At 49.4% G+C, this 24,759-nt stretch overlaps 1 protein-coding gene across 4 annotated transcripts in view, besides 6 other annotated features; it reads right to left on the bottom strand.

The window, feature by feature from the left end:
• Positions 5,393 to 5,893: an enhancer, noted in NCBI's record as "H3K4me1 hESC enhancer chr2:237045311-237045811 (GRCh37/hg19 assembly coordinates)". NCBI's record gives its function as "activates a minimal SCP1, AML or CMV promoter by ChIP-STARR-seq in naive H9 embryonic stem cells {active_cell/tissue: H9 hESC(naive)}" and the evidence as "EXISTENCE:reporter gene assay evidence [ECO:0000049][PMID:30033119]".
• Positions 5,894 to 6,394: an enhancer, noted in NCBI's record as "H3K4me1 hESC enhancer chr2:237044810-237045310 (GRCh37/hg19 assembly coordinates)". NCBI's record gives its function as "activates a minimal SCP1, AML or CMV promoter by ChIP-STARR-seq in naive H9 embryonic stem cells {active_cell/tissue: H9 hESC(naive)}" and the evidence as "EXISTENCE:reporter gene assay evidence [ECO:0000049][PMID:30033119]".
• AGAP1 (ArfGAP with GTPase domain, ankyrin repeat and PH domain 1) overlaps positions 10,767 to 24,759 on the bottom strand; it is a 637,751-nt gene continuing 623,758 nt past the window's right edge. For all 4 annotated transcript variants that reach the window (NM_001037131.3, NM_014914.5, NM_001436125.1 and 1 more), the window contains 2 exons: positions 22,113 to 22,368; positions 10,767 to 18,641 (listed from right to left, as the gene is read on the bottom strand). In NM_001037131.3, coding sequence (NP_001032208.1) covers positions 18,438 to 18,641; positions 22,113 to 22,368 — 460 coding nt within the window. In that variant the 3' untranslated portion in view covers positions 10,767 to 18,437. The remainder of the gene's footprint in view (positions 18,642 to 22,112; positions 22,369 to 24,759) is intronic.
• Positions 12,811 to 13,748: an enhancer, noted in NCBI's record as "H3K4me1 hESC enhancer chr2:237037456-237038393 (GRCh37/hg19 assembly coordinates)". NCBI's record gives its function as "activates a minimal SCP1, AML or CMV promoter by ChIP-STARR-seq in primed H9 embryonic stem cells {active_cell/tissue: H9 hESC(primed)}" and the evidence as "EXISTENCE:reporter gene assay evidence [ECO:0000049][PMID:30033119]".
• Positions 15,332 to 15,842: an enhancer, noted in NCBI's record as "H3K4me1 hESC enhancer chr2:237035362-237035872 (GRCh37/hg19 assembly coordinates)". NCBI's record gives its function as "activates a minimal SCP1, AML or CMV promoter by ChIP-STARR-seq in naive H9 embryonic stem cells {active_cell/tissue: H9 hESC(naive)}" and the evidence as "EXISTENCE:reporter gene assay evidence [ECO:0000049][PMID:30033119]".
• Positions 21,692 to 22,434: an enhancer, noted in NCBI's record as "H3K4me1 hESC enhancer chr2:237028770-237029512 (GRCh37/hg19 assembly coordinates)". NCBI's record gives its function as "activates a minimal SCP1, AML or CMV promoter by ChIP-STARR-seq in primed H9 embryonic stem cells {active_cell/tissue: H9 hESC(primed)}" and the evidence as "EXISTENCE:reporter gene assay evidence [ECO:0000049][PMID:30033119]".
• Positions 22,435 to 23,177: an enhancer, noted in NCBI's record as "H3K4me1 hESC enhancer chr2:237028027-237028769 (GRCh37/hg19 assembly coordinates)". NCBI's record gives its function as "activates a minimal SCP1, AML or CMV promoter by ChIP-STARR-seq in naive H9 embryonic stem cells {active_cell/tissue: H9 hESC(naive)}" and the evidence as "EXISTENCE:reporter gene assay evidence [ECO:0000049][PMID:30033119]".

The following is a 24,759-nucleotide window of genomic DNA, read 5'->3' as shown; positions in this document are numbered from 1 at the left end:
TCAGTAGCGGTAAGCGCCCCAGAGACAAAGAAAGTGGAATAAGGGAAAAGGGAGTGTTGGAGGTAGGGACTGAGTTACAGGGTCAGGCTGTGCTTCTCTGGGGAAATGAGCTTTGAACCTAAAGAAGGCAAAGGAGGAGCCACGGGAGGACTGCATGAGGAGCTAACGGGGCAGGGGCCGGGGCGGGGGCGGGGCGAGGGGGGACCGCAAGTGCAAAAATGGGAACTTATTCAGATTGTTCAGAAAAAGCAAGGCCGGTGTGTCTGAGGGTGGGGGGCAATGCACAGGGTCGGGGGGGGAGCTTGAGGAGGAGACATCAGAAGAGGAGGCAGGCCAGATCACGTAGGACCTTGCAGGGCATGGTAAGTGTCTTGCTTTTATCCTAGGGGTGCCAGGAAGCCGTCCGTGTGGCGAGCACAGGGGTTTCATGAGCCGACTTTTTTTTTTTTTTTTTTGAGACGGAGTCTCGCTCTGTCGCCCAGGCTGGAGTGCAGTGGTGCGATCTCGGCTCACTGCAACCTCTACCTCCTGGGTTCAAGCAATTCCCCTGCCTCAGCCCCCTGAGTAGCTGGGACTACAGGCACATGCCACCATGCCTGCCTAACTTTTTTGTATTTTTAGGAGAGATGGGGTTTCGCCATGTTGGCCAGACTAGTCTCGAACTCCTGATCTCAGGCAATCCGCCCGCCTCGGCCTCCTGAAGTGCTGGGATTATAGGCGTGAGCCACTGCACCCAGCCGACTTTCACTTTAAGAGGGTTATTCTAGCTTCCAAGTGAAGATGAAACCCAGGGGCAGCAGGAGCAGCAGGAAAGCCAGCTTGGGGCGACTGGAGTAACGCGGAGCTCAGATTTGCGGGGGAGATGTGGTCAACTCTGGGATGGATCTTTGGAGACAATAGGACAGACTGATAGGAGGGAGAGAGAGAGAAGTGTAGGATGGCTCCTGAGCATTTGGGCCAGCATCTGGGGAGGGTGAGTGCTGCTTCCCAAGATGGGGCATATTTAGGAGAGTCGAACTGGGAAGGAATTGTGCATTTCCGTTTGGGGAGTTACACCTGAGGTGACTATTCGCCATTGGAGACACTGTTGCTTGGCGACGGCAACACCTATTCCCGGCTCCTTTTTCTCTTTCCCACCAACAGAACAGAGGCTGGAAGGGATAGATACTTGCTTTTCAAACCTCCCTTGCAACCAAACATGGCCATATGACCAAGTTCTGGCCAATGAGAAAGTCATAGGGGAAAGTTTGCTAGAAGATGCCGAAAATCTAGGAATGTCTTTACTCTCCTGATAGAAATGATAGATGTGGCAAGTTCCATCTCTTTATCCCATTATTCTTGCTTTGGACATGAATGTAATGCCTGGAGTCATGGCAGCCATCTTTTGACTGGGAGGTGGCAACCGGTTTGCCAATGATAGTGGAGCAAAATGAAGAAACTCAATTTAAAGAAATAACATAGCTGAGCCACAGACCAGCTCTGGACTGTCTGCCTTTAAATATATTATGTGATAGAATTAAACATCTTTAGTACAAGCATTTGTTATTTGAGGATTCTATTATTTGCGGCCAAAAGCATTCCTAACTACATTGAATACCTACTCATCAGTGGATATGAGTCTAGAATCCAGGGTGGCAGCAAGGCTAGAGATAAAAATTTGGAAGTCACAGGCAAATATTGGACCCTTTGGGACTAGATGAGATTGCCTAGAAAGTACCATGGATAGAGAATATCATAGATTGAGGACTGAGTCCTGGGGCCTCCAACATCTGGAAATCAAAAGAGGAGGGGGCAGACAGGAAACCAAGAGGGACAACAGAATGTGTTGTGTATGTGTGTATGTGCATGTGTGAGCACACACGGCCTCTGCTTTGAGGTCCTATGCTACATGTCTATATACTCCTCTGCAACTTGAATTTTTTTTTTTTTTTTTTTGAGACAGGGTCTCACTCCGATGCCCAGGCTGGAATGCAGTGGTGAGATCATGACTCACTGTAGCCTCAATCTCCCAGGCTCAGGTGATCCTCCCACCTCAGCCTCCTGAGTAGCTGGGACTACAGGTGCTTGCCACCACACCTGGCTAATTTTTTGTATTTTTTGTAGAGACGGGGAATTGCCATTTTGCCCAGGCTGGTCTCAAACTCCTGGGCTCAAGTGAGCCACCCGACTCAGCCTCTCAAAGTGTTGGGATGACAGGCATGAGCCACCACACACAGCCGAATGTTTTATTTAATAGTATATTCTGGACATCTTCCCATGTCAGCACATGTAGGTCTACATGATTCTTTTCAATGGCTAATGCTAACCTATCATGTGGATATTCCATAATTTATGTGTCATCCATTAAAAAAGCCTTCCATCCTATTGTTTAATTGGCACAAATAGCTAACCATTTGGAAAAAGTAAAAATTTCGCAAATGAACAATGAATGAAAATTTAAATGTAATAAAATGCCATAAAATAATGGAAGTCTACTAAAGAGAAACTGAGTTTTGGATACTCTTGAGCAAGGAAGAAGTTTCTTTTCTTTTCTTTTTTTTTTTTTTTGAGATGGTGTTTTGCTCTTGTTGCCCAGGCTGGAGTGCAATAGCGTGACCTCGGCTCACTGCAACCTTTACCTCCCAGGTTCAAGCAATTGTCCCTGCTTAGCCTCCCAAGTAGCTGGGACTACAGGCACCTGGGACTACAGGCACCTACCCCCGGCTAGTTTTTGTATTTTTAGTACAGACGGGGTTTCACCATGTTGACCAGGCTGGTCTCCGAACTCCTGACCTCAGGTGATCTGCCCACCTTGGCCTCCCAAAGAGCTGGGATTACAGGTGTGAGTCACCTTGGCCAGCCGCAAGGAAGGGTTTTCTAAGCATAGCACCAAAGGCAGGAATCATAAGGGTAAAGACTGATTTGAGTTCATAGTGTTAAAATTCTGCACATTAAAAAATCGTAAGATTAAAAAGGAAAAAATGAGATAAATGTTATAACACATTATGTTATATAAAGGGTTAGTATCCTCTAAGTTAACACATCGGTAACAAAAATATTGTGCCTAATGTCCCAGCTACTCTGGAGGCTGAGGTGGGAGGACGGCTTGAGCCCAGGGGTTCAGACTGCAGTGAACTATGATCACACCACTGCACTCTAGCCTGGGTGACAGAGCGAGGTTCCAGCTCTAAAAATAAAAAATAAAATAAAAATAAAAAGATAAATACAAAAGTGAACAAAGAATATGCAAGGGTAACAACACAAAATAGAATTTGCCATTAAACATAAAAAATTCTACCCCTAATGGTAATAAAATGCAGATAAACTAAGAGAACCTATTTTTGGCCTTTCAAATTGGAAACAAAAGTGACCCCATATTGGTGAAGTATGGGGAGCCAAGCAGCCTGATTCCCAGTGGTAAGTGTTTCGATCTTGTTAGAGAACTTTTTTTTTTTCTGCCATGAAAAGTTGTTCATGCTCATTTAAGTTTTAAGAAGTAGGTTTCTCATGACAATTAAGAGCTCTGTGTGATTATTGATTGGATCTTGGATAAGGGGAAAAATCAGCTGAGAAAGACATTACAGGACAATTGAGGCAATTTGAATAGGGACTGCATATTATATCATACCAATGGTACCCATCCTGGGAGTCATCATGGTCTTGTGGTTACAGAGGAGAAAGTCCTTGTGCTTATTTATTTATTTAAGGCTGAAAAGTCCTGCTGTAGCTCCTTTACTTTAAAATGTGGCTGGGCGCGGTGGCTCACACCTGTAATCTCAGCACTTTGGGAGGCCGAGGCAGGCCGATCATCTGAGGTCAGGAGTTCGAGATCAGCCTGGTCAACATGGTGAAACCCCCGCCTCTACTAAAAATACAAAAAAAAAAAAAATTAGCCACGTGTGGTGGTGTGCACCTGTAATCACAGCTACTCAGGAGGCTGAGGCAGGAGAATCATTTGAACTCGGGAGGCAAAGGTTGCAGTGAGCCAAGATTGTGCCACTGTACTCCAGCCTGGGTGACTGAGTGAGACTCTGTCAAAAAAAAAAAAAAAAATTCAACATAGTGTGTGTCAGTCTGTCTATCTAGAGAGATGGCCGTGTATTAAAATGTTAACAACTAGTGCGTAGAGATGGGCATCTTTGGGTGTTCACTGAACGATTCCATTCTTCAACTTCTTTGTTGGTGTGACATTTTTCAACACAAACATTTGAAGGGAAGCATAGGCTAGAAGATGGTTTGAAGAATGCTATTTTATTCTTAAAATAAAAGTACAGTGGGGCACAGCAGCTCACTCTTGTAATCCTAGCACTAGGGGAGGCCAAGGCAGGAGGATTGCTTGAGCCCAGCCTGGGCAACATAGTGAGACCCCCCCTTCTCTACAAAAAATTAAAAAATCAGCCAGGTGTGGTGGCACATACCTGTAGTCTCAGCTACTCAGGAGGCTGAGGTGAGAGGATCGTTTGAGTCTCAGAGGTCGAGGCTGTAGTTAGCCACGATTGCACCACTGCCCTCCAGCCTGGGTGACACAGCAAGACTCTGTCTCAAAATAAAATTTAATTTAATTGAAAAGTACATGTGGCCTGGCACCATGGCTCACACCTGTAATCCCAGCCCTCTGGGAGGCCAAGGTGGGTGGATCACCTGAGGTCAGTAGTTCGAGACCAGCCTGGCCAATATGGTGAAACGCTGTCTCTACTAAAAATTAGCTGGGTGTGGTGGCATGTGCCTGCAATCCCAGTTACTCAAGAGGCTGAGGCAGGAGAATCATTTGAACCTGGGAGGTGAAGGTTGCAGTGAGCCGAGATTGTGCCACTGCACACCAGCCTGGGCAAGAAGAGCGAAACTCCGTCAAAAAAAAAAAAGTACATGTATATTTTAAAAAAGATGCCAGAATGCCAGAACACATATCCACACCCTAAGATCGCCTGTCTCTGGGTGGTTGGTCATTGTTCATTTCATTTTGTTTCCTTCTTTTAAAAATAGTTATAGAAATAATAATTTTTCAGACAAGTAATTCAAATAAGCAGAAATAACAAATTAAAATCAAGTTTAATCTCAGGCTGGTGTGGTGGCTCACACCTATAATTCCAGCACCTTGGGAGGCCGAGGCGGATGGATCGCTTGAGCCCAGGAGTTCAAGACCAGCTGGTGTAACATGATGGAACCCCATCTCTGCCAAAAATTAGTCTGGCATGGTGGTACGTGCCTGCGGTCCTAGCCGAGTGCGGTTTGGCAAAGGCAATTTGCCATACATTTGGAAAACCCACACAAGTGGGGTGCAGTCCTGGGCTACTCCATCTCCTCGGGCTGCTCCATCCCCTCAGCCTCCTCCGGGCAAGAAGGCTGCTGCTGGCTGCGCCGGCACAGTCACCTGGACAGGTTGCATCTATTGAGTACTTTGTAAGATATTGACAGGACCCTGCACACAAGTGAATCACTGAATCCCTTTAGCCAGAGGCAGTGCGATGCCAAGTTCCCATCATCCCTGCTAGTGGTGTGTGTGTGTGTGTGTGTGTGTGTGTGTGTGTGTGTGTGGTAGTTCCCCTTGTAGTGCAGTAAATGAGGGCTTTTTTTCCCCTCCAGCTTTAAAAATAAACAGATCTTGAAAGTGAGTGCAGCTAGCGCATTGGTCAATACCATATGCAAATAAATAAGTGCTAATTGCCTGCAGTGTCTTTGGATGTCAGGCGCGGTTATTGGACCACATTTATGGGCCAATTAGGAGCCTTACTGGACTCTAGTGGTGATAAATTGCGACTGAGTAGCTTCTCGGAACGTGCTGGAGACAGTAGGGCTGATCGTAACTCCTCCCCACTCGCGGCTGGCGTGGACTGCCAGGCTTTTGTCCATTGTACAGCCGCACTGTCATCTTCGCTGTCACCACGGGCAGGTCCGGGTGTAGCGAGGGTGGGGTGGGGAGCCCTGTGCGAGCCCAGGCTGGGGGAGAGCCCGCAGGTCAACAAGGGACCCGGCCCCTGAGACACAGGCCATGGCTGAGATTCCACCGAAGTGCCATGGGCAGCAGAGGAGGGAGGGCTGAGCGAGTCTGGCCCTGCCTTCCAGGGGAACTGGGCGGGCCTGGCTGGAATTTGGAAGGAGGGTCCCTTGGGTGCATCCCCCCCAGCCCATGTTTTGTCCTCACTCCTGTCACAGTTATAATGAGGTTTGGTTTCCTTTGACCCAAAGAAAATTGCTGCTGCAGCTGGACACTCGACACTCAATTGCGCCAAGGAAGGCAAGACCATTGATGGGCCAGAGCTTGTTCCTTCCTTCATTCACTAGTTGAGTCAGTGGATATTCATTCAGGCTGGTCCCTGGGCCCTGGGTGTAACTCACACAGATCCATGGCCTTGGAGCTCAGGGGAGGTGAATGATCCCACAAGGAAAGGCCTGTGGTGAGCACCATGGGGAAGGACTGCCAAACACAAGAGCAGGGAAGCCTGATGGGGCCAGGAGCCAGGGGCCAGGTGTGGAGGCCTCTTTGAGGAAGGGACAGTTCATCAGAGACCCCAGAGATGACAAGGAAGAAGCCACAGAGAGCAGGGCCTTCCCAGGTGGAGGAAAAGGTGAAGAGCAGGATCCGATCCCCGGGAGGGACAAGAAAAGGCAAGGAGAGAACATTCAGGAGTCAGCATGGTCCCCTGGTGGGAGAGGAGGGGGCTGGGAGGGCAGCAGGAGGCAGGGTTGGCCTTCTGGAAGGTTCCCAGCTGTGTTCGGATGCTGTGGTCAGGAGTCAGTTTGAACTTTATTTCTTCAGATTCTGTAACTTACAGTTTGGTTTGCTCCTTATTGCAATGCTTCCTAATTTTTAAAATTTTTATTTTTCTTTCTTTCTTTATTAGAGACAGGGTCCCGCTCTGTTGCCCAGGCTGGAGTGCAGTGGTGCAATCATAGCTCACTGCAGCCTCAAACTCCTGGTCTCAAGCGATCCTCCCACCTCAGCCTCCTGAGAAGCCGACTACAGGTGTACGATGCCACGCCTGGCTAATTTAAAAAAATTTTTTGGCCAGGTGCGGTGGTTCACGCCTGTAATCCCAGCACTTTGGGAGGTCGAGGCGGGTGGATCACAAGGTCGGGAGATGGAGGCCATCCTGGCTAACATGGTGAAACCCTGTCTCTATTAAAAATACAGAAAATTAGCCAGGCACGGTGGTGGGCGCCTGTAGTCCCAGCTACTTGGGAGGCTGAGGCAGGAGAATGGCGTGAACCTGGGAGGCGGAGCTTGCAGTGAGCTGAGATTGTGCCACTACACACCAGCCTGGGCGACAGTGTGAGACCCTGTCTCAAAAAAAAAAAAAAAAAAAAAAAAAGAATTTTTTTTTGTAGACTTGGGGTCTTGTTATGTTGCACAGCCTGATCTTGAACTCCCGGCCTCAAGCGATTCTCTTGCCTCAGCCTCCTAAAGTGTTTGAATTACAGGTGTGAGCCACCGTGCCTGGGCTGCTTCCTAACTTATAATCAATTTGTTTTCAGGATCAAAGTAGTTAACCAATGGTTTTTCCAATTTCAGCATGAGAACAATATATTAATAAAAAAACCCCAAACACTTTCTTTAAAGTCTGTGGCAAAATGTGAGCTTCAAGATATGCCTCAATGTAACTTTTTACAATACAGGATGAGCATCATTTATCCAAAATGTTTGGGACCAGAAGTGATCTGGCTTTTGACTTTTTTCAGATTTTGCAATATTTGCAATGAGATATCTTGGGGAGAGGACCCAAATCTAAATACAAAATTCACGTGTTTCACACATACCTTGTACACATAGCCTGAAGGTAATTTTATGCAACATTTTCAATAATTTTGTGCATGAAACCAAGTTTTGACTGCAACCTGCCACACGAGGTCAGATGTGGAATTTTCCACTTACGGAATCATGTTGGTGCTCAAAAAGTTTTGTATTTTGGAGTATTTTGGGTTTCAGATTAAAGATATTCAACCTGTACATGCTAATGGAGAAAATGGGAACAGTAAAGTAAAAGAAAGAAATAAAAACCACCCAGGATTCCCCAGAGAAAGACAGCACTGTTAACATTTTGTATATTTTTTCCTGGATATTAAAATATCTTTAATTAGAGATCACTCCTGTAAATACTTTTTTTATATCCTAATTTTTTATTTATATTATTTCCCCATGTGATAAACACAGTTTGAAATGACTAAATCTTCCTCCCCTTTACAGATGCATGATGATTTATTTAACTCTCTCCCTGTTGGGCTTTGACCTTGCTTCCAATATTGTTACTATAAATACCATAGACATGAACATTTTTAGGCACATGTCAAAGTATTCCCATTATCCCCTGGCCAGATTCGTGGGCATTGAATTCATTCATGTGGTCAATAAACACGTACTAAGCCTCTATCGTGGTGAAGGTGTGGTCCAGGTTCTGCCTTCCTGGGTCATGAGGGAAGCTTTTCAGAGTCTTTGTGCACAATTCCATATGGCTTTGCAGGGGCACTGCTTCCACCAGCAGCGTGTTTGGGTTCGCCTCACCTTGGCCTTGCCAGCACTGCGTGTGATCACAATACAAGTCTTGGCTATGAAATCTAAACATTCAGTCTTGCTTTTGTGACCTGAGAGCTTCCCAGAGCACCTGGCTTAAGTACCTTGGTCTGGGAAGGTGATTCCGTTTCCCACTCCTGGGGCCCTGACACCTCCTAGGAGGGTGACAGATACTCTGAGGTTTACTTAGAGCCCTGGAGGGAAGCTGGGTGTGGACAATGCTATGGACAGAGGAGGAGCCACTGAGCAGCAGCAGGGCAGGCACGGCCTGGCCCCCGGGTCTCTCCTGGGGAGGGAGTGTTCTGTGTGCTGACCGAAGGGTGCGTGTGAATGGTGGGGAAACAAGGTGGCTGGGCAGGGACGTGAGCCGCCTATTCAAAACCTGCTCTCCCCATCCTTCCACATCACCCCTCCCCCCATTTCCCAGCATCCCTTGCAGCCCTGAGGGACCCCGCCCAGTCTGGTCAGTGGTGTGTAAGTGGAGGCATGAGGGTGGCTTCTGGGGAAGCTGGTTAAGAGGGACCGACTCAGCTGCCTCTTCTCTCACCTTCTCTCTTCTTCTCACTGGAATGCAGATGCTGGAGATGCCCCTCTCGGGGGTGCCCAGAGGTAACAAGCACCTGGGAGCCATGGTTGACCAGACGGCCGGGAGGAGGCTGGGCCCAGCAGACTCTGCAGCTGTTGGCCAGCCCAGGCTTGCCTCTCTCCAGGCTTCTTCTTTTGGGAGGAAAAAGAAACCCTTCATTTATTTAAGCTGCTGTTTTGTAAATCTGTTATTAAATTCATCAGATAAGCAATATGCATTTTTTTTTTTCAGACAGGGTCTCGCTCTGTCACCCAGGTTGGAGTGCAGTGGCATGATCTCGGCTCACTGAAACCTCCACCTCCTGCGTCAAGCAATCCTCCCACCGCAGCCTCTCAAGTAGCTGGGACCACAGGCATGCGCCACCACGCCTGGCTAATTTTTTGTATTTTTAGTAGAGACGGGGTTTTGGCATGTTGCCTAGGCTGGTCTGGAACTTCCGGTCTCAGGTGATCCGCCCACCTCGGCCTCCCAAAGTACTGAGATGACAGGCGTGAGCCACCGTGCTCGGCCATCTATATGCACTTAAATGGCATTGATTCCTCCTAAAAGCACCTTTCCTTGTGCTTTTTCTTCTTCCGCATTTCTTAGAAGACAAGTCAGCCCAGTACCCTTGTGCATGAGGCCTGTGGGTGTCCTGTGACGGCAGGTGACCAGGTCTCTGTGCTGGGTGAGGGGCTGCCCTCGCTGTGGCCTCACATTCCATGTTGTGGCCGTCCACGAGGCATTTTGTGGCACTATGGGCTCCCACACCATGGGAAAACTTCAACAAAAAATGTCACTAATGTGTCATGAGATCACGAGGTTCTCTATTTCTTGAATGGAAGAGTAGGGGGAAGAGGACACCCCTGTATTTGCAGAGAAGACTGTCTGGAAGGCATTCCCAAAATTAGTGGTGGCATTTTTTTTTTTGAGATGGAGTCTTGGTCTGTCGCCCAGACTGGAGTGCAGTGGCATGGTCTTGACTTGCTGCAACCTCCGCCTCCTGGGTTCAAGTGATTCTCCTGCCTCGGCCTCCGGAGTAGCTGGGATTACAGGCATGTCCCACCATGCCCAGCTGATTTTTATATTTTAAGTAGAGACGGAGTTTCGCCATGTTGGCCAGGCTGGTCTTGAACTCCTGACCTCAAGTGATCCAACCGCCTTGGCCTCCCAAAGTGCTGGAATTACAGGTGTGAACCACCAGGCCTGGTCAGTTTTCTCATTTTTTTTTTTTGGAGGGGAAGATATAATGTAGTTTGTAGGCAAAAATTACAGTAATATTAATGATAATAACGGTCTTAATAATAGAGTCCTGGGATGGTTCTACTGCTAGCCACCTGCTGGGAATAGTTCTTACGACACACCTGGGGCAGTGTGGCACAGTGCAAAGATACAGAAGCATCTGGAAGTTCTGGGCCCAGTCAACCCTGGCTGGGCAAAGAACATTCTCTTGGAGTTTCTGTCCTTGTAAAGGAAGAAGTCAGAAGAGACACTCCTGGTCTCTTTCTTCATTCCGTCTGTGAACTCGTGTGCTGAGTCCCTCGGGCCTGGGGCAGCCTGGGCCTGGGGCAATCCCTGCCCGCAGCAGACAGAGCCCCTTTTCTCTCTGATTTACCTTTCCTGGGCTTAGAAACACAATTAGTTGTGACAAATGACCAACGCCACCAAAAAAAAAAAAAACAAAAAACAAAAAACAACAACTCCACGGAAGCGGTGTAGACATATTTTCATTTCTTTATTAGAAAGAGGTCTCTACACCATAGCCACCTCTCTCTGTTACTTTACACATCTTTCTTTTTCTTTTTCCCTTAGAATACTGTACAGCGGACACAAAAAAATCCCAAGGCAGGAAAATACAAACTGGCATATTTAATCAAAACAAGATCATATGAAATAACAAGCAAAGTGAAATGTCTGTCAATGGTTTTAATTACAGTACAAACAATATAAATAAAGCATCATTGAGTCATTGTGAAACATAAAGTTGCTGAATGAGGTAATAGAAAACATCCAAAAAAAAAACCTAAACCCATCTGTGGATACACCCACGCTGCCCTTCCATCTCTATACACTGCTATTTACAGAAACAGAAAACTGGCTGCAAGGTGGGTTGGCCTTCCCTGCCCCTGCCTAGAAATGCATCTCAGTTGTCACCTTTGAGCTGCTCCGGCTGCCCTTTAGGAAACGCACCCCTGTGGCAAGATGAGAACCAAATTCCAAGCTGGCAGAAGGGAAGAGCCAGTGCAGGAGACCTGCCCCCGGGACCCGTGCGACCCTCCCCTCTCCAGGCTGAGCTCAATAAGGGCCTCCCCAGCGCTCAGGTGCTCGGGGCTGAGAGGGGCTGCAGTCTGGAGAATTAGATGTATTTCAGACACAAAAACCCAGCCGTGGGAGGGAAACTGATGCTTTTCAAGTCTGCAAGAAGGAATTATTTCTAACGTTACAGTGCTGGTCCCTCTCCCCCCGTTCTTAACGCCACGAAGCAGCTTCTAAATGCACACTTTGCCACCCACCATGCAACTGCCCCACCCCTCTCCAGCCACCTGTGTACCCTCAAAACAGCCATGCTGAGAGCCCTGCTGGGACCCTTGGGGCTGGGTTGGGATGGGGGAGGTCCCTCGTGCCAACCTGAGCAGTGCGTGAGACCCACTCCCCAGACCAGCCCCTGGCTCACTCCCAACACCCTTGGAGCCTTCTCTGTTCTCCTACCCTGAGAACCCAGGCAGGAAATGCATTTGCCCAGGGACCTCCAGGAATGTCAGGGGACACCCCAGGGCTGTGGTATTGGGCAGGGGGCTGGGCTGCTTCCAGTGTCTGCATGAGGCCCATTAGGATTCCATGCACCTGGACTGTCCTTCCTCAAGTCCAAAGGCCCCTGACATCCTCATGCCCAGCTGCTGACCGAGTGGGCTTCCAGTGTCTTCTGTTTACCAAAGCTCTCCAAGCGGCTCAGACGTTAGCTTCCTGGGCCAGTGTAGACTGTTCAGCACCAGGGAGATGAGGGTTTAATTGGATTTAGGGGCAGCTGTTCCCAACAGCTGGTGTGTTAAGGGGGTTTGCTCCACTGGGAAGATTCCCCAACACACTCATGCCTTGTTTGGTTCCTTTCTTTCACCTGCATCTCAAGGCAAAGGCCATGCAATCCCCCCACGGGGCATTCTAGATCAGTCCGATGTGGACTTCGACAAGGAGTCTCTATCATATGGTTTCACCATCCTCAGGTTGGGGGAGTGCTCCCTACAGGTACCCTGTGCCAGGCCAAAATGAAAACCAAGCCCTGAGCCAGCCTCTCCTCACATTCATGAGGATATCCTGTTTGGGGCACATGGAGCGGCTGCCCAGCTTGGGCGTCCCAAGGTCGGATGCCACAGCTGCCTGCTGGTCTCACCTAGCAGCCTTAGGCCTGAGCTCTGGGGCTTTCAGAGCCCATGCAAGTCTCTGCTGGCCACTCTGGCCCCATCTGCCCACCTCCAGGCCCTGAGGCCCATCTGTAGAGGGTGAGGACCTCAGACAAGAACAGTTCTACCCAACAGGTGCAAAACCCCAAACCAAGTGCTGTCATTTTACACCAAAACCAGCATCTCATGGTGAAAGACAGTAAGAATGGGTTTTCAGATTTAGGTTTGCTTACCGCTGCTCTGGGGTGGGTGTTTACTACACTGGTGAACTTAAATACTTTCTCATACAACTCAAAGATTTAAAAAAGACTTGTTGGTTTCCCAGAATCCCTTTCCAGAATCACCTGCCAATGCGGACATGTGACGCGAAGAAAGCCGCAGACACACTGATTAAATGGGGGGGCCATTAATATTTCAACAGTCTATTTAAGGGCAGTATTTCTTCTCTAAGGGGAATAAAGTTTGTGTTTTGAAACAGTAATATCTAAGTAAATATTTCTTTCTTCATGGAGAGGGGAGGAGTCTGCCACAGGGGTTTCTGTCTAATCACAGACGGGACACTGGCCACTTCTCTCTAATCACAGACAGCGCAGCATCCCAGGGGCCAGCGATCCAGTTCACTCTCTGCCTGTGTCGGAAGGACCAGTCTGAGGACTGTTTCTTAGTGATCCAGCTCCAAGGTGTACTCTAAGGAGATACACCTGCGCCCCTTCTCTCTCCTGCATAATGGGAGGAAAGCTGACATTTTGCTGAAAAGCAACCTAATGTATGTGGTTAAATGATAGAGGGCCCGTCCCCACAGCAGGGCTGGGGCAGATCTGTCCACTGGGCAGGGCAGGGGGGTCTCCTGGCCCCACTCGCTATCACCTGAGCGTGCTGGCCTGGCCTGGGGGCATGGGGAGCAGCATTAAAGACACATGACCACAAGGGCTCCCTGAAGAAAGCCACTCAGAAATCCAAGCGCAAGCCGCGGAAAGGTGGAGAATGCACGCATTGATGCCAAAGGCCCTTATTTAGCTTTTTGGGGAAGGATGAGGGTGACAGTCATTCAAGATGTGACTTCACAACATGTGAAACCCCCGTCTGAGGCAGCGGTTGGAAATAAATTACATTTCCTTTGAAGGAAAGATGTGTATCTCCAGCACTTTTCTATCTGAACTCCTCCTTGACTGCTTTTCAATTTGTTTGCTTGAAGGCCATAAATACAACCCCGGGGAGTTCTAGAAAAGTCTCAACGACCTTGTGCAGGCGGTGAGGGACGGAAGCAGAGCACATGCCGTGCCGGGAGGTTTGGGGTTTGCTTTCCAAACACCTTTGCCTCCTGAGTAGTTGCTGAGGCCTGATCATACCGCATCTCAGGGGAAGCTACATCGTTGCCAGGCTTCCCACCTCCTGGGGCAGGAATGTGGATTTCCTCTCATTTCCAGAACATCCTAAGTGCAGGGAGGGAGAGTTGGTGTCCTGGGCGCCACGGGGACCTAGAGCGCCTACGGCACATTGGAGGCTGCAGGTTGAGCAGGCCACTCTTGTGGGGTAAGATGAGTCCACCAAGTTCAAGCACAAAACACGCTGGGAACCCGAGGATGGGGAGAGAGGGACGGGCCTGCAGCCAAGCACGGCGACCTGGGGTGCTCTCCAGCAAGCTCCGATCTCAGACAGGAGGAGGAGGGGAGCACCAAGCAAGGCCCAGTGCACGCGTGAGTCACAGCGGCTCATGGCAACGGCAAGGGGGCATCTTAAGGGAGGGGCGCTGTCCACGTCAACGGCACCTCAACAGGCTGTGGGGGAGAGGGAAGGGTCGTCTTGGCCCTGATCAGCACCAGCGAACAGCACGAGGGCAGAACTCAGCCCCTTCCTCGCCTCTAGAAAATCAACCTCAGACTACAAAGCAGAATATACATGTTGAGAAAAGTGGGCAGGTTCCAGAGAGGCTCTCAGGGAGCAAGGACCTCATTGATGCTGTTCCCCGCCATGTGGAGGGCAGGGCACTGGCAAGCTGAGAGAGGAGGGTCCTGGGCTCTACTGGGGGGGGGGGGTTGGCAAACGTGCCCATCACAGCCTCCCCAGAATGCAGGCTGGAGGACAGTGTCAGCCACGGGCAGGTTTCCTGGTGTGTGCACTGGCTTCGGTCCCATCAGTGTTTCTGTTATTAACAAGTGCTCCTGTTCTCCCAGCATCCCCTGGGCCAGGTGTGAGGCCAACACTTATCACACTGGTTTGAAACCTCACTGCACCCTGCAAGTTTCACAGATGAGGAAAAAGAGCCCAGGAAGCTGGGTGCTTGCCTAGAGTTGCAGAGGAATCCTCTGGAAGGATGGCAGGGCCAGCTGAGCCTAGGGGTCTGTCTTTCTCATTAGACCATGTTTCTCCCTAACAAGGTTAGCAATAGCTCCTATGCAGATATAGGGAATGACCCCAAATGTGCAGATGTCACAAAAATAGGAAGACTGGTATCTACACTGGATGACGAGGCCGGAACCATGCAGGCCTCATCAGGCTGGGTGAAATCTCAGAAGAGGGAGCTTCAATGCAAGGCCCTTGTGCTGAAAAGCCACTGCCGAGAACTGGCCTGTGCACTAGAGGCTCTGCAGGAAATGCAATTCATTAAGATCCCGCTCTCTCCTGTGTCTGAGAACCCTGCGATTGGCGAGTGACCCGCTGCCTTCTCCCTCCTTTCCAGTGCATATATACATTGTGCACACACTTGGGAGACAGGACACTGCACCTGGTTTTGGGGCCAGTGACTCAGGAACTTGTCACTTGCTCACCCTCGAGCTGCTCATTTCCTGGGATGAAACAGAGAGAGGGACCAGGGACCAGGACTGGGGTGCTGGGCGGGGGAAACCATCTGCCCGTCCCAGCACCTGAGGTCAGAATCACAGAGTACTGTCCCTGCGGGGTGTTTCTGCTGCAGCCAGGTCTGCACCACACCCCTCCACTCCCCGCCAAGTTCAGTCTCCGCGAAGCTGAACGCGGGGGTGCAGATGTGTCCAGATCACCCATGGGGTTACACAGGCCGCTCGTGGGCCTCCCTCAGCTGGCTGTTTCTCATCAAGGGAGAGTTTTAATTCTGAACAGGAAAGGTGAGGGGGATCCTGCAGTGGTGATCTGTCATCGTCACGTCACAGAACTGAACATGGAAATGAACAACGAAAACTCCACCCCCTTCTCAAACGAGTTATTCCTAGCTCCGCCCCCAGTCCTTGCCTCTCCCAGCCTTGGTGGTAATTAGCTTGAAAGTGGGAACGAGAGTGCGGTCCGCAAAGAAAGGACTTCTGGTTAGACACTGAAATACAAACAGACTGCCAACGAGCTCTGGGCAAAGCTGCCCCGTCTTCTTTTTTTCGAAAGACCCTCAAAAACTGCCTTTCCTTCTGCTACCAAAACTTGGGCCCTAGAAAGTGGCTGCGGAGTGGAGCAGATGGACATCACTGAGAATGGTAGAGGAGGGGCTGTGTTTTCTGAGGGGGAGTCATGGCAGCTTGTGCTGGGGGCCAGGAAGGGAAAAAACCAATCTGGCATTCAGGTTGTGGAAGGCAAAGTGAAACAAGAAGTCATTTGGGAAAATATTATATTATAAACACATAGAATAATATGTACACGCTCATATACATCCCAAAGAGAAGCCTCAAGGAGTTCCGTTTCTTCTCAAAAGAAACTTCACTATGATAAAGCATTCCTATAGTGGGAATTAACTACAATGAAATAATTTAACAATTTCATTTATGCTATATCTGTGTCCACTACAGAGTCTACGGTGAAGGCTGTGTGGAGCGAGTGTGTCTAGTGGACTCGAACACCAACGCGTTCTTCAAAAATAGGCAATGACCTGTTTTTTTCTATTCACATTTACAATAGCTACACAGTGATGAAACGCAGACTGAAAAATCAAATGGCAGGACGATGGAACTGTCGTCAAGGTTCTCAGACTTGTGGCTTCTGCACCTGTTATACTTTTGGATACGAGTGAGCTCCACTTAGCTTCGTTAAGATTAGAAATTTCCATGAAACACTTACCCACATATAAATTCTGTGTAAAGCTTTATTTTTTTCCCCACCTACTTTAATTTTTTTTAAAAAGTGAAATAAGAGGAAAAACTCTTATAAAATATAAGGTTTAACATACGAGAGAGCGAGGAACACCCCGGAGGCTGCCGGTGCGTGTGGCTTCATGTTTCTGTGCTACATGAGTCTAGTGTCCTCATCTTCCATTGTGACAACCCTTCTCCCCCCATCACACTGTCAATGAGCTCTAGGCAAAGCTGCCCCGTTTGCTTTTAACCTAAGGGATGCTGTGGTTTGGTTGACTACATTTGACTACCACCACTGAAGGCGGCGGACGTCTGAAGCGGCTGGATACCGCAACGATGGAAAATCAGGCGAGGTACTAGCGTGGAGGGCCGGGCTGCCAGGTCAAGGTCGTCTGGGTTCTCAGGAGCCAGTCTGTGCCACAGAACCATTGGCAGCTGCCTTCGTAAGGCACCTCGGTCTGGCATTCGGAAAACCACCCCATCTTGCCAGAGTCCCTTGGTCCTTGGTTAGCAAAAGCCGTATCCGATCTAAATCATGCTTTCAATCATGAGAGACCACATTCCTTCTTTTTCCTTTCTAATATACTCCAGTGTGTCTTTTTTTTTCTTTCTCAATTTTAATAAGCAAATTGTACCACCATCTTATTCTGAGATGCTCCTTTTCAAAAGCCGTAGATCACATTAATGGAAGTGTTTACTGCTGGGAATATTTTCCATGTACAATGATCTGTAACCCTCTTATCTCAACTAGTTGCACATTATTAGTTCACATCCAGTTCAATTTATAAATTAAGAGAGGTGCCATTTGTCTGTACAAAAATCAATGCATATTTATGAACTTCTTTTATTCAAATATATTTTCACACATCTTATCTAAATACATAACACAGAAGCCTGTGTGACTTGGGCAACGTGGTCCAGGAGGGCCTGAGACTAACACATCCACCTCGGCAAAAGGACATCAAATATCTCTTACAGTCGGAAAAAACAGCCTTTTGTGTATTTCCTTAGTTTACGAAATATACTCGAAATGCTATTATTAGCTGAATTTGTGGTTTCCTTTTGAGTTTCTGAGTTATTCTTATTTATTTTTCCCATTTTGTTTTTGCACCAAGGAGACCGGAGTCAAATAATACTCAGCGACTGATTTCCTCTCTTTGGACTGAAAAATTAAACAGATACTAAATGATGACAGTGAATTTAGAGAGGGCTCCAAGGGCTTGAAAGAACATGTCTGGGATAATATGGTGCTTCTAAGAGTATTGCAATCACATCGTGGCAATCACCGGCGCGTGCCGCGTGACTACCTCCTCGGCTAATATGCTTTCTTCTCGGCGATGACTAATCACGTTCTATTAAACAGCAGTAATGCGGGAAGAACTCGGCTGTACAAGTGTAATGAAGCCAGTATTCTCCCTGGACAGATTAGCTACAACTGATTTGACACACACCATCATAGGGGCTTCAAACCTGACAAACTCTGTGCTTGCTTCTGATTTATGCCGTCGAGCTCCTCAGAGAAGAGATGGAATCCAAGTGTTCCGTTTGGTAGAGGGGAAATGTACTATGTGCTCAACTGCCAGTTAAGGAAAGTTGCCCCTTCTCCTTGTTCCTCGCCTCCCCTCCCCCTCGCGTCCCCATCCCTTGTGCCACCAGGACAAGGGTCCTGCGCCATGTGCTATCATCAAAGGGCCGAGGCCCGTCGCTCTCTCCTGTGTGTGGTTTAGGGGAGTTTATGAAAAGGAGCCACTTCTGCAGTCTCCCGGCCGCCTCTTCGCCCCTTGAGGGATGTCCAGGTTTTGTGATTTTGTTTGGGGTGAGAGTGGGTGGGCGGGAGGGAGGTGGCCACCAGGAAGAGGGAGGGGATGCGACGGGACTCACGTGCTGCGACTTCTGAGCGAGAATGCGGCGAGGCTGCCGCGTCCCAGGTGCGGCGAGCAGGCGGGCACGGCTGTTCCTCAGATGATGGTGGGCACCCTCCCACTGCTGTTGTTCCGGTTATTGTTTCTCCTGGACAGGTTAGGGGTGGCCATGAGCACGAAGCGCTCGTCGGGGCAGCCGTACTGCAGCAGCACGTCGATGCACTCCTGGCTGGAGGCCTGCCGGGCGTAGGCCAGAGCTGTGTTCCCGTGGGCATCTCGGGCCGTGACGTCCACTCCGTACTGCGGAGGTAAGGGAGCCCACATTAGTATCATGGGGGATGTGATGGAGGGAGGGGGCAGGGAAGCTTTCTCTCAGCCCTTGCATGTGGCTTGTGCTTGGACAGCGGGGCCAGCTACACAACTGGCTGGGGTGCCAGGACCATCCAGTGCTGGTGGCACAGCCTGCACCCGTGGCCAGCGGATTCTTTTAAGGAAAGAACATGTCTTTTTTTTTCAACTGAAAGCCCCTCCTTTGTGCAACATTAAGGAATCAAAGATAACTTTAGTTTTGCTGTTTCTATTTTGACTTTCCAATTGCACAAAGAAAATCATTGTTTTGATCTCAGAATTTTCATTATAGGAAATACACAAATAACACATAACAGCTCAAGAAGAAAAAAAATCACCCATAATCTTACTACTTAGAGATAACCTTTGTGAATTAGTGTATTTCCTTTCAATGAGTTTTCTTTGAATCTACATGTATATGTACATAATTGAGATAAGACTGTACAAATAATTTGTATTTTTTTCATTTTTTATTGATTACTATACTGTGATCATTTTCTTACATCATTAAAAATTACTCAGAAGCACAACACAAGCTGGGTGCGGTGGTTCACTTCAGCCCAGGAGTTCAAGACTAGCCTGAGCAATACTGGGAGACCCTGTCTCTAGAAAAAAACACATTTTAAAAAAATTAGCTGGGCACGTGGCATATGCCTGTGGTCCCAGCTATGCAGGAGGCTGAGGTGGGAGGATCGCTTGAGCCTAGGAGGCAGAGGCTGCCGTGGGCCGACATCACACCACTGCACTCCAGCCTGGGCAACAGAGTGAGACCCTGTCTCCCCACCCCTCAAAAAGCATGACATATGCAAGTCATACAGTATTCCACCACATGAACAGAATTCAGAACTCTCCCCTCAACTGTGCACACTTTGTAAAAATTGTCACTGGAGCCGGACACGGTGGCTCATGCCTGGAATCCCAGCACTTTGGGAGGCCGAGGAGGGCGGATCACAAGGTCAGGAGTTTGAGACCAGACTGACCAACATGGTGAAACCTCGTCTCTACTAAAAATACAGAAATTATCTGGGCATGGTGGTGTACGCTTGTAATCCCAGCTAGTGTCAGGAGGCTGAGGCAGGAGAATTGCTTGAACCCGGGAGGCAGAGGTTGCAGTGAGCCGAGATCGTGCCACTGCACTCCAGCCCGGGAGACAGAGTGAGACTCTGTCTCAAAAAAAAAAAAAAAAAAAATTGTCACTGGAAGAAACAGTGCCCGGATGTATGTCCTCACATAGAATCTTTCTTAGGATCTGTGATTGATTATTAGAGTGATGATCAGAAGGGGGAAAATATGAGGTTAAAGTACACAACGTTTTTAAGCTTTTTGCTCATGAAAAAGAGTGAATTCACTTCCACTTCTGCCAACTCACAATGTGTGGGAGTCTGAGGCCACTCAACAGCATGGAACCAGCGCCATCAAAGGAATTTTTGCTCAATTGGAGAAGCAAAGATGGCCTGTAATTTATAACTGTGTCCCCCGCTCCCACCAACAATTCACATGTTTAAGTCCTGACACCCAGTACTTTAGAATGTGACTGTATTTGGAGACAGAGCCTTTATGGTGGTGTATTAGCTTAAATGAGGTCACAATAGGGTTAGTATCTATATGAGAAGAGGAAAAGGCTGGGCTGGGAGGCTGATACCTGTAATCTCAACACCTTGGGAGGCCGAGGTGAGAGGACTGCTTAAAGGCAGGAGTTCAAAACCCATGGGCAATATGGTAAGAACGTAAGTCTACAAAATTTTTTAAAAACTGCCATTCATGGGGGTGGCATGCCTGTGGTCCCAATTACTTGGGAGGCTAGGGTGGGGGGATTGCTTGAGCCCAGGAGTTTGAGGTTACAGTGGGCTATGATTGTGCCACTGCACTCCAGCCTGGACGACAGAGCAAGACTTTGTCCCAAAAAGAAGGGGGTGGGGGGAAAGGAGAGAGCTACCAGGAGCGAGTGCAGAGGAAAGGCCCTGTGAGAACATAGGGAGAGGGCGGCCGTCTACCAGCCGTGAGAGAGGCCTCGCCAGGAACCATTCCTGCTGGCCCTTTGATCTTGTACTTCCAGCCTCCAGAACTGTGAAAAAATAAATGTCTGTTGTTGAAGCACCCCTGTCTGTGGTATTTTGTTATGGCAGCCCTAGCACACTACACACAACTCTTATTTAATGTGCATTACATCACATGTATGACTCATGAGCAAAAGGGAGTATCTGTGTGATTTTGGTGTAGTGTCTATATCTCACTCATTCACCAACTGCACCCATCAAAAAAGTCAGATCAAGGCTGGGCGTGGTGGGTCATGCCTGTACTCCCAGCACTTTGGGAGGCCGAGGCGGGTGGATCACGAGGTCAGGAGCTCGAGACCAGACTGACCAACATGGTGAAGCCCCGTCTCTACTAAAAATACAAAAATTAGCTGGGCGTGGTGGTGCGCACCTGTAATCCCAGCTTCCTGGGAGGCTGAGGCAGGAGAATTGCTTGAACCTGGGAGGCGGAGGTTGCAGTGAGCTGAGATCGCACCACTGCACTCCAGCCTGGGTGACAGAGCGAGACTCTGTCTCAAAAAAACAAAAAACAAAAAAGTCAGATCAAAAACATGCAGAAACCTGCTGCACTCTACCCATGCTGCTGTAGAACGTGCTGCTGTGCTGGACTGACCCATCCTGCCTTGCGGGTGGAGACAGAAGAGCCTCCAGCTGGGTGTCCCACCTCTGGGTGCTGTCTCCACTTCTGGGCACACACTTGCCTTCCCTATCTGGGGAGCCTCCCTGCCGGCAGCTTTCTGCCTGCCTCTGGTGGGAACCTGCCTCAGCAGAAGCCCCAGGGGTCCACAGGCAGCCCCTAAGTGGGCGTGGCTTCTCAGACGTAGCTCCTGGGTGGCACAGGCAGGGCCTCTCTGCACAACCACTTTATCCTTCTCTTTCACTCCTTCAAGCATTGTGACACATGCTTCAATAGGAATGTAAATAATACTTTTCCCCAGTAGAAATTAATCAGAATGGTTCGAAAGAAGTCCTTTGACAAACTCCTGCCACATCAGACCTCAAAGTTTAGGGTCCAGTATTTCTGTGTTAAGTGAATAAAAACACCAAAGGTTTGGAAATGGGGAAACCCTACAAGCCATCCCGTTAATACACCGCCTTCTCTCCAGAAGATGATGGAAATGAAAAAAGAGGGATAGCACCAACCCTGCTTGATAAGGGGCAATCACAAAGTTGCAATTTTCAGAAACTCTAGCAAGTACTGTACAAGGAGGACCGGCTGTCTCTCCGTAAGGCCCTCTGCTCTTCAATCAGAGTTTCCCATTAGGAACTGTTTCCACTTGCAGATCGAGAACAACAGCCTTCTGCCAGAAAGATGCCCACGGAAGCAGAACAAAGCAGAGAGTGCCTCCTGTGGCCCCGTCCTCTGCCAGGCGTGCCGACCACCTACCCAGATCAGGAGCTGCGCCAGGACCACATTCCCCTTGCGGCAGGCCAGATGCAGCGCCGTGCGGCCGTCTCCCTCCCCGCAGGTCTCGTTCACCTCGTCCCGGGAGCCGTGTGCCAGCAGCAGGATGGCCGTCCGCAGGTCCTCGTCGGCGGTGGCCCGCAGCAGGTGCTGGCCCAGGGACAGCTCCGTGCAGGGCAGCGGGGCCAGGAAGAGCTTCTGCTCGTACTTGGCACGGATCCACCGTTCCTTCTCTTCCCTGCAAAGAGCCACCAGACAGGTGCAGTCACGATCAGGCCCGAGAACACAGGCTGCCAGCCCCTGCCCAGTGTGGTCGGGAGAAGCCGAGAGGGAAGTGAAATAACAGAAAGCAAAGGTCTTCACTCGGCACAAAGCCCCCTGGGGGAAACGTTTATCCACCTTCACAAAACAGTATCCTCACCAGCAGCATCAGCCCAGAAATGCAGATTCTCAGGTCACGCCCCAGACCCCCTGAATCCAAACCTCTCGGGGTGTTTTAAGAAGCCCTGCAGGGGATTCCAATAGGCCCAAGGTGTGAGAGCCGCTGATCTCAGGCTCATACACTGCCTTGGTGCTGCTTCTGTCACTTTTAGTGTAGAAGCTGTCCTTGGAAAGAAAACTACCAAGTGAGGGCTCAAGGCCATGGCCTTGGATCAGTGGCTCTCACACACCGATGCACAGGGGAAACCACCCTACTGCCTGGGACCAGCACGATGGAAGCACGGTCTCCGGGGCCGAGAGCACGGACCGCACGATGGAAGCATGGTCTCTGGGGCCGAGAGTTGCTTTACTGTAAGCAGGACTGTAAGTGAGGGCTATAGGACACTTGGCTGGAGCTGGGCCGGGGGTGGGGGGAAGGGACAGCCGGTGCGCTCCCCACACCTGGGGGTGACCATGTGCTTTTAGCTTCAAACTCCGAAATAGGGGGTGTGTGTGGACTCCCCAGGGTCTCCAAACCCTTTCAGCTGAGGAAAACATGGCAACAGACTCACGCAGGAGAGGGTGGAGACTCCAATGAGGAGGTTTAGCAGGGAGATGCAGCTTTTGGAATCTCCAGATACTTGGGGAAGGCTTAAGTGGAAAGGACAGAATGTCAGGAATGGCTGAGTTTTTTGGGGGAAACTGTTCCAGGGCCTGGGAAACAGGCAGGTAGCTCCCAGAAGCCAGAGCTGAGCCCAGAGGCAGAGGAGAGGACAAAGCTGGGGAGGGGGTGGATGGGGTCGGAGGTGTGGAGAGTGGATGATGCTGATGCCTGCCCGCCCCGGCCCCAGCATCACAACCTGGCTGAGATGGGGCTGCCCGACCTGGCCAGTGTAATACATGGTCTCCTCCTGGGGGGTCTACAGAGGATGGGGACCCTGCTACACATCTGTGGGGAGGGCTAAGAAGGAGAGGACAGGATGAGATGAGAAGCTTAACAAATAGAAGAGGAAACCAACAGTAAGGCATGTTTATGTTGACCCAAAGGAAGGACCCCAGGCGAGCAGCTCCTGTACTTTGTGGCTACTGATGATGGTTTCTGGTTTCTCAAAAAAGAGCGTGACAGATACTGAAAACTCAAGACTCTGCAGCACCGCTAGAGGGGAAAAAAAAAGGTAGGGTGGTGGGGGACAAGAAATTTACAAAGAACAGTGTGAGATTTTACAAGTAGCTCTTGAAATTTTACAAGGATCCCAGGAGCCAAGCCCAGCCAGGGAAGTGCTCCCTGCCTGCCTTTTTGATGAGGATGACAAAGAAAAGAGGCTGGGCGCAGTGGCTCATGCCTGTAATCCCAGCACTTTGGGAGGCCGAGGTGGGTGGATCACCTGAGGTCAGGAGTTCGAGACCAGCTTGGCCAACATGGTGAAACCCTGTCTCTACTAAAAATACAAAAATTAGCCGGTGTGGTGGCAGGCGCCTGTAATCCCAGCTACTCGGGAAGCCGAGGTAGGAGAATGGCTTGAACCCGGGAGGCAGAGGTTGCAGTGAGCTGAGATTGCGCCACTGCACTCCAGCCTGGGTAACAGAATGAGACTCCATCTCGAAAAAAAAAAAAAAAAAAAGAAAAAGAAAAGAAAGAAAAGCCCTACATGTAAGAAGGGACTGCAGTTACCCATAGAGACTTTAATAACGCACTGATTCACAATCGCCCTCTCCAAAATTCAGGTTTCTCCAGGGGAATAATCAGAGTACACAGTTACAAATGACACGGAGAAATCACTCAGGGCTTCCGCGAAAGTCTAGAAAGAAAACTCATTACCCATGACATTTCTGCTTCCGAAGTACAGAGGAAAGGCCTTGTTTACACCTTTTACCCGTGTTTACATTGCACCTAGTGATCTAGTGTCGGGTTAGCCCTAATCTGTTTTTAAATACTAAGGCAAACAAATTCTTCCAGGAGTAAATCTGGATTAGTTTTGCTTCACTTCCTGGTACATGTGAGTGACCCCAGAGTGACCCCCGACTCTTTTCATTTGGAGATTTCCAGGACAAACACTTGGCTACAGCTGAGAACTGACACCGGCCCCCACAAATGCAGCGGAGGCAGCCCCTGCACCCCACTCGGGCAAAAACACAAGCACAAAAGCACTGACAATGTCTGGGAAATACGGGTTCAGGAGACAGACAAAAAGAAGCAGTTCTGATACTA

Source organism: Homo sapiens, chromosome 2 (assembly GCF_000001405.40).
Source record: "Homo sapiens chromosome 2, GRCh38.p14 Primary Assembly".
NCBI classification, from domain to species: Eukaryota; Metazoa; Chordata; class Mammalia; order Primates; family Hominidae; genus Homo; species Homo sapiens.
This window is presented reverse-complemented; position numbering and strand designations above follow the sequence as displayed.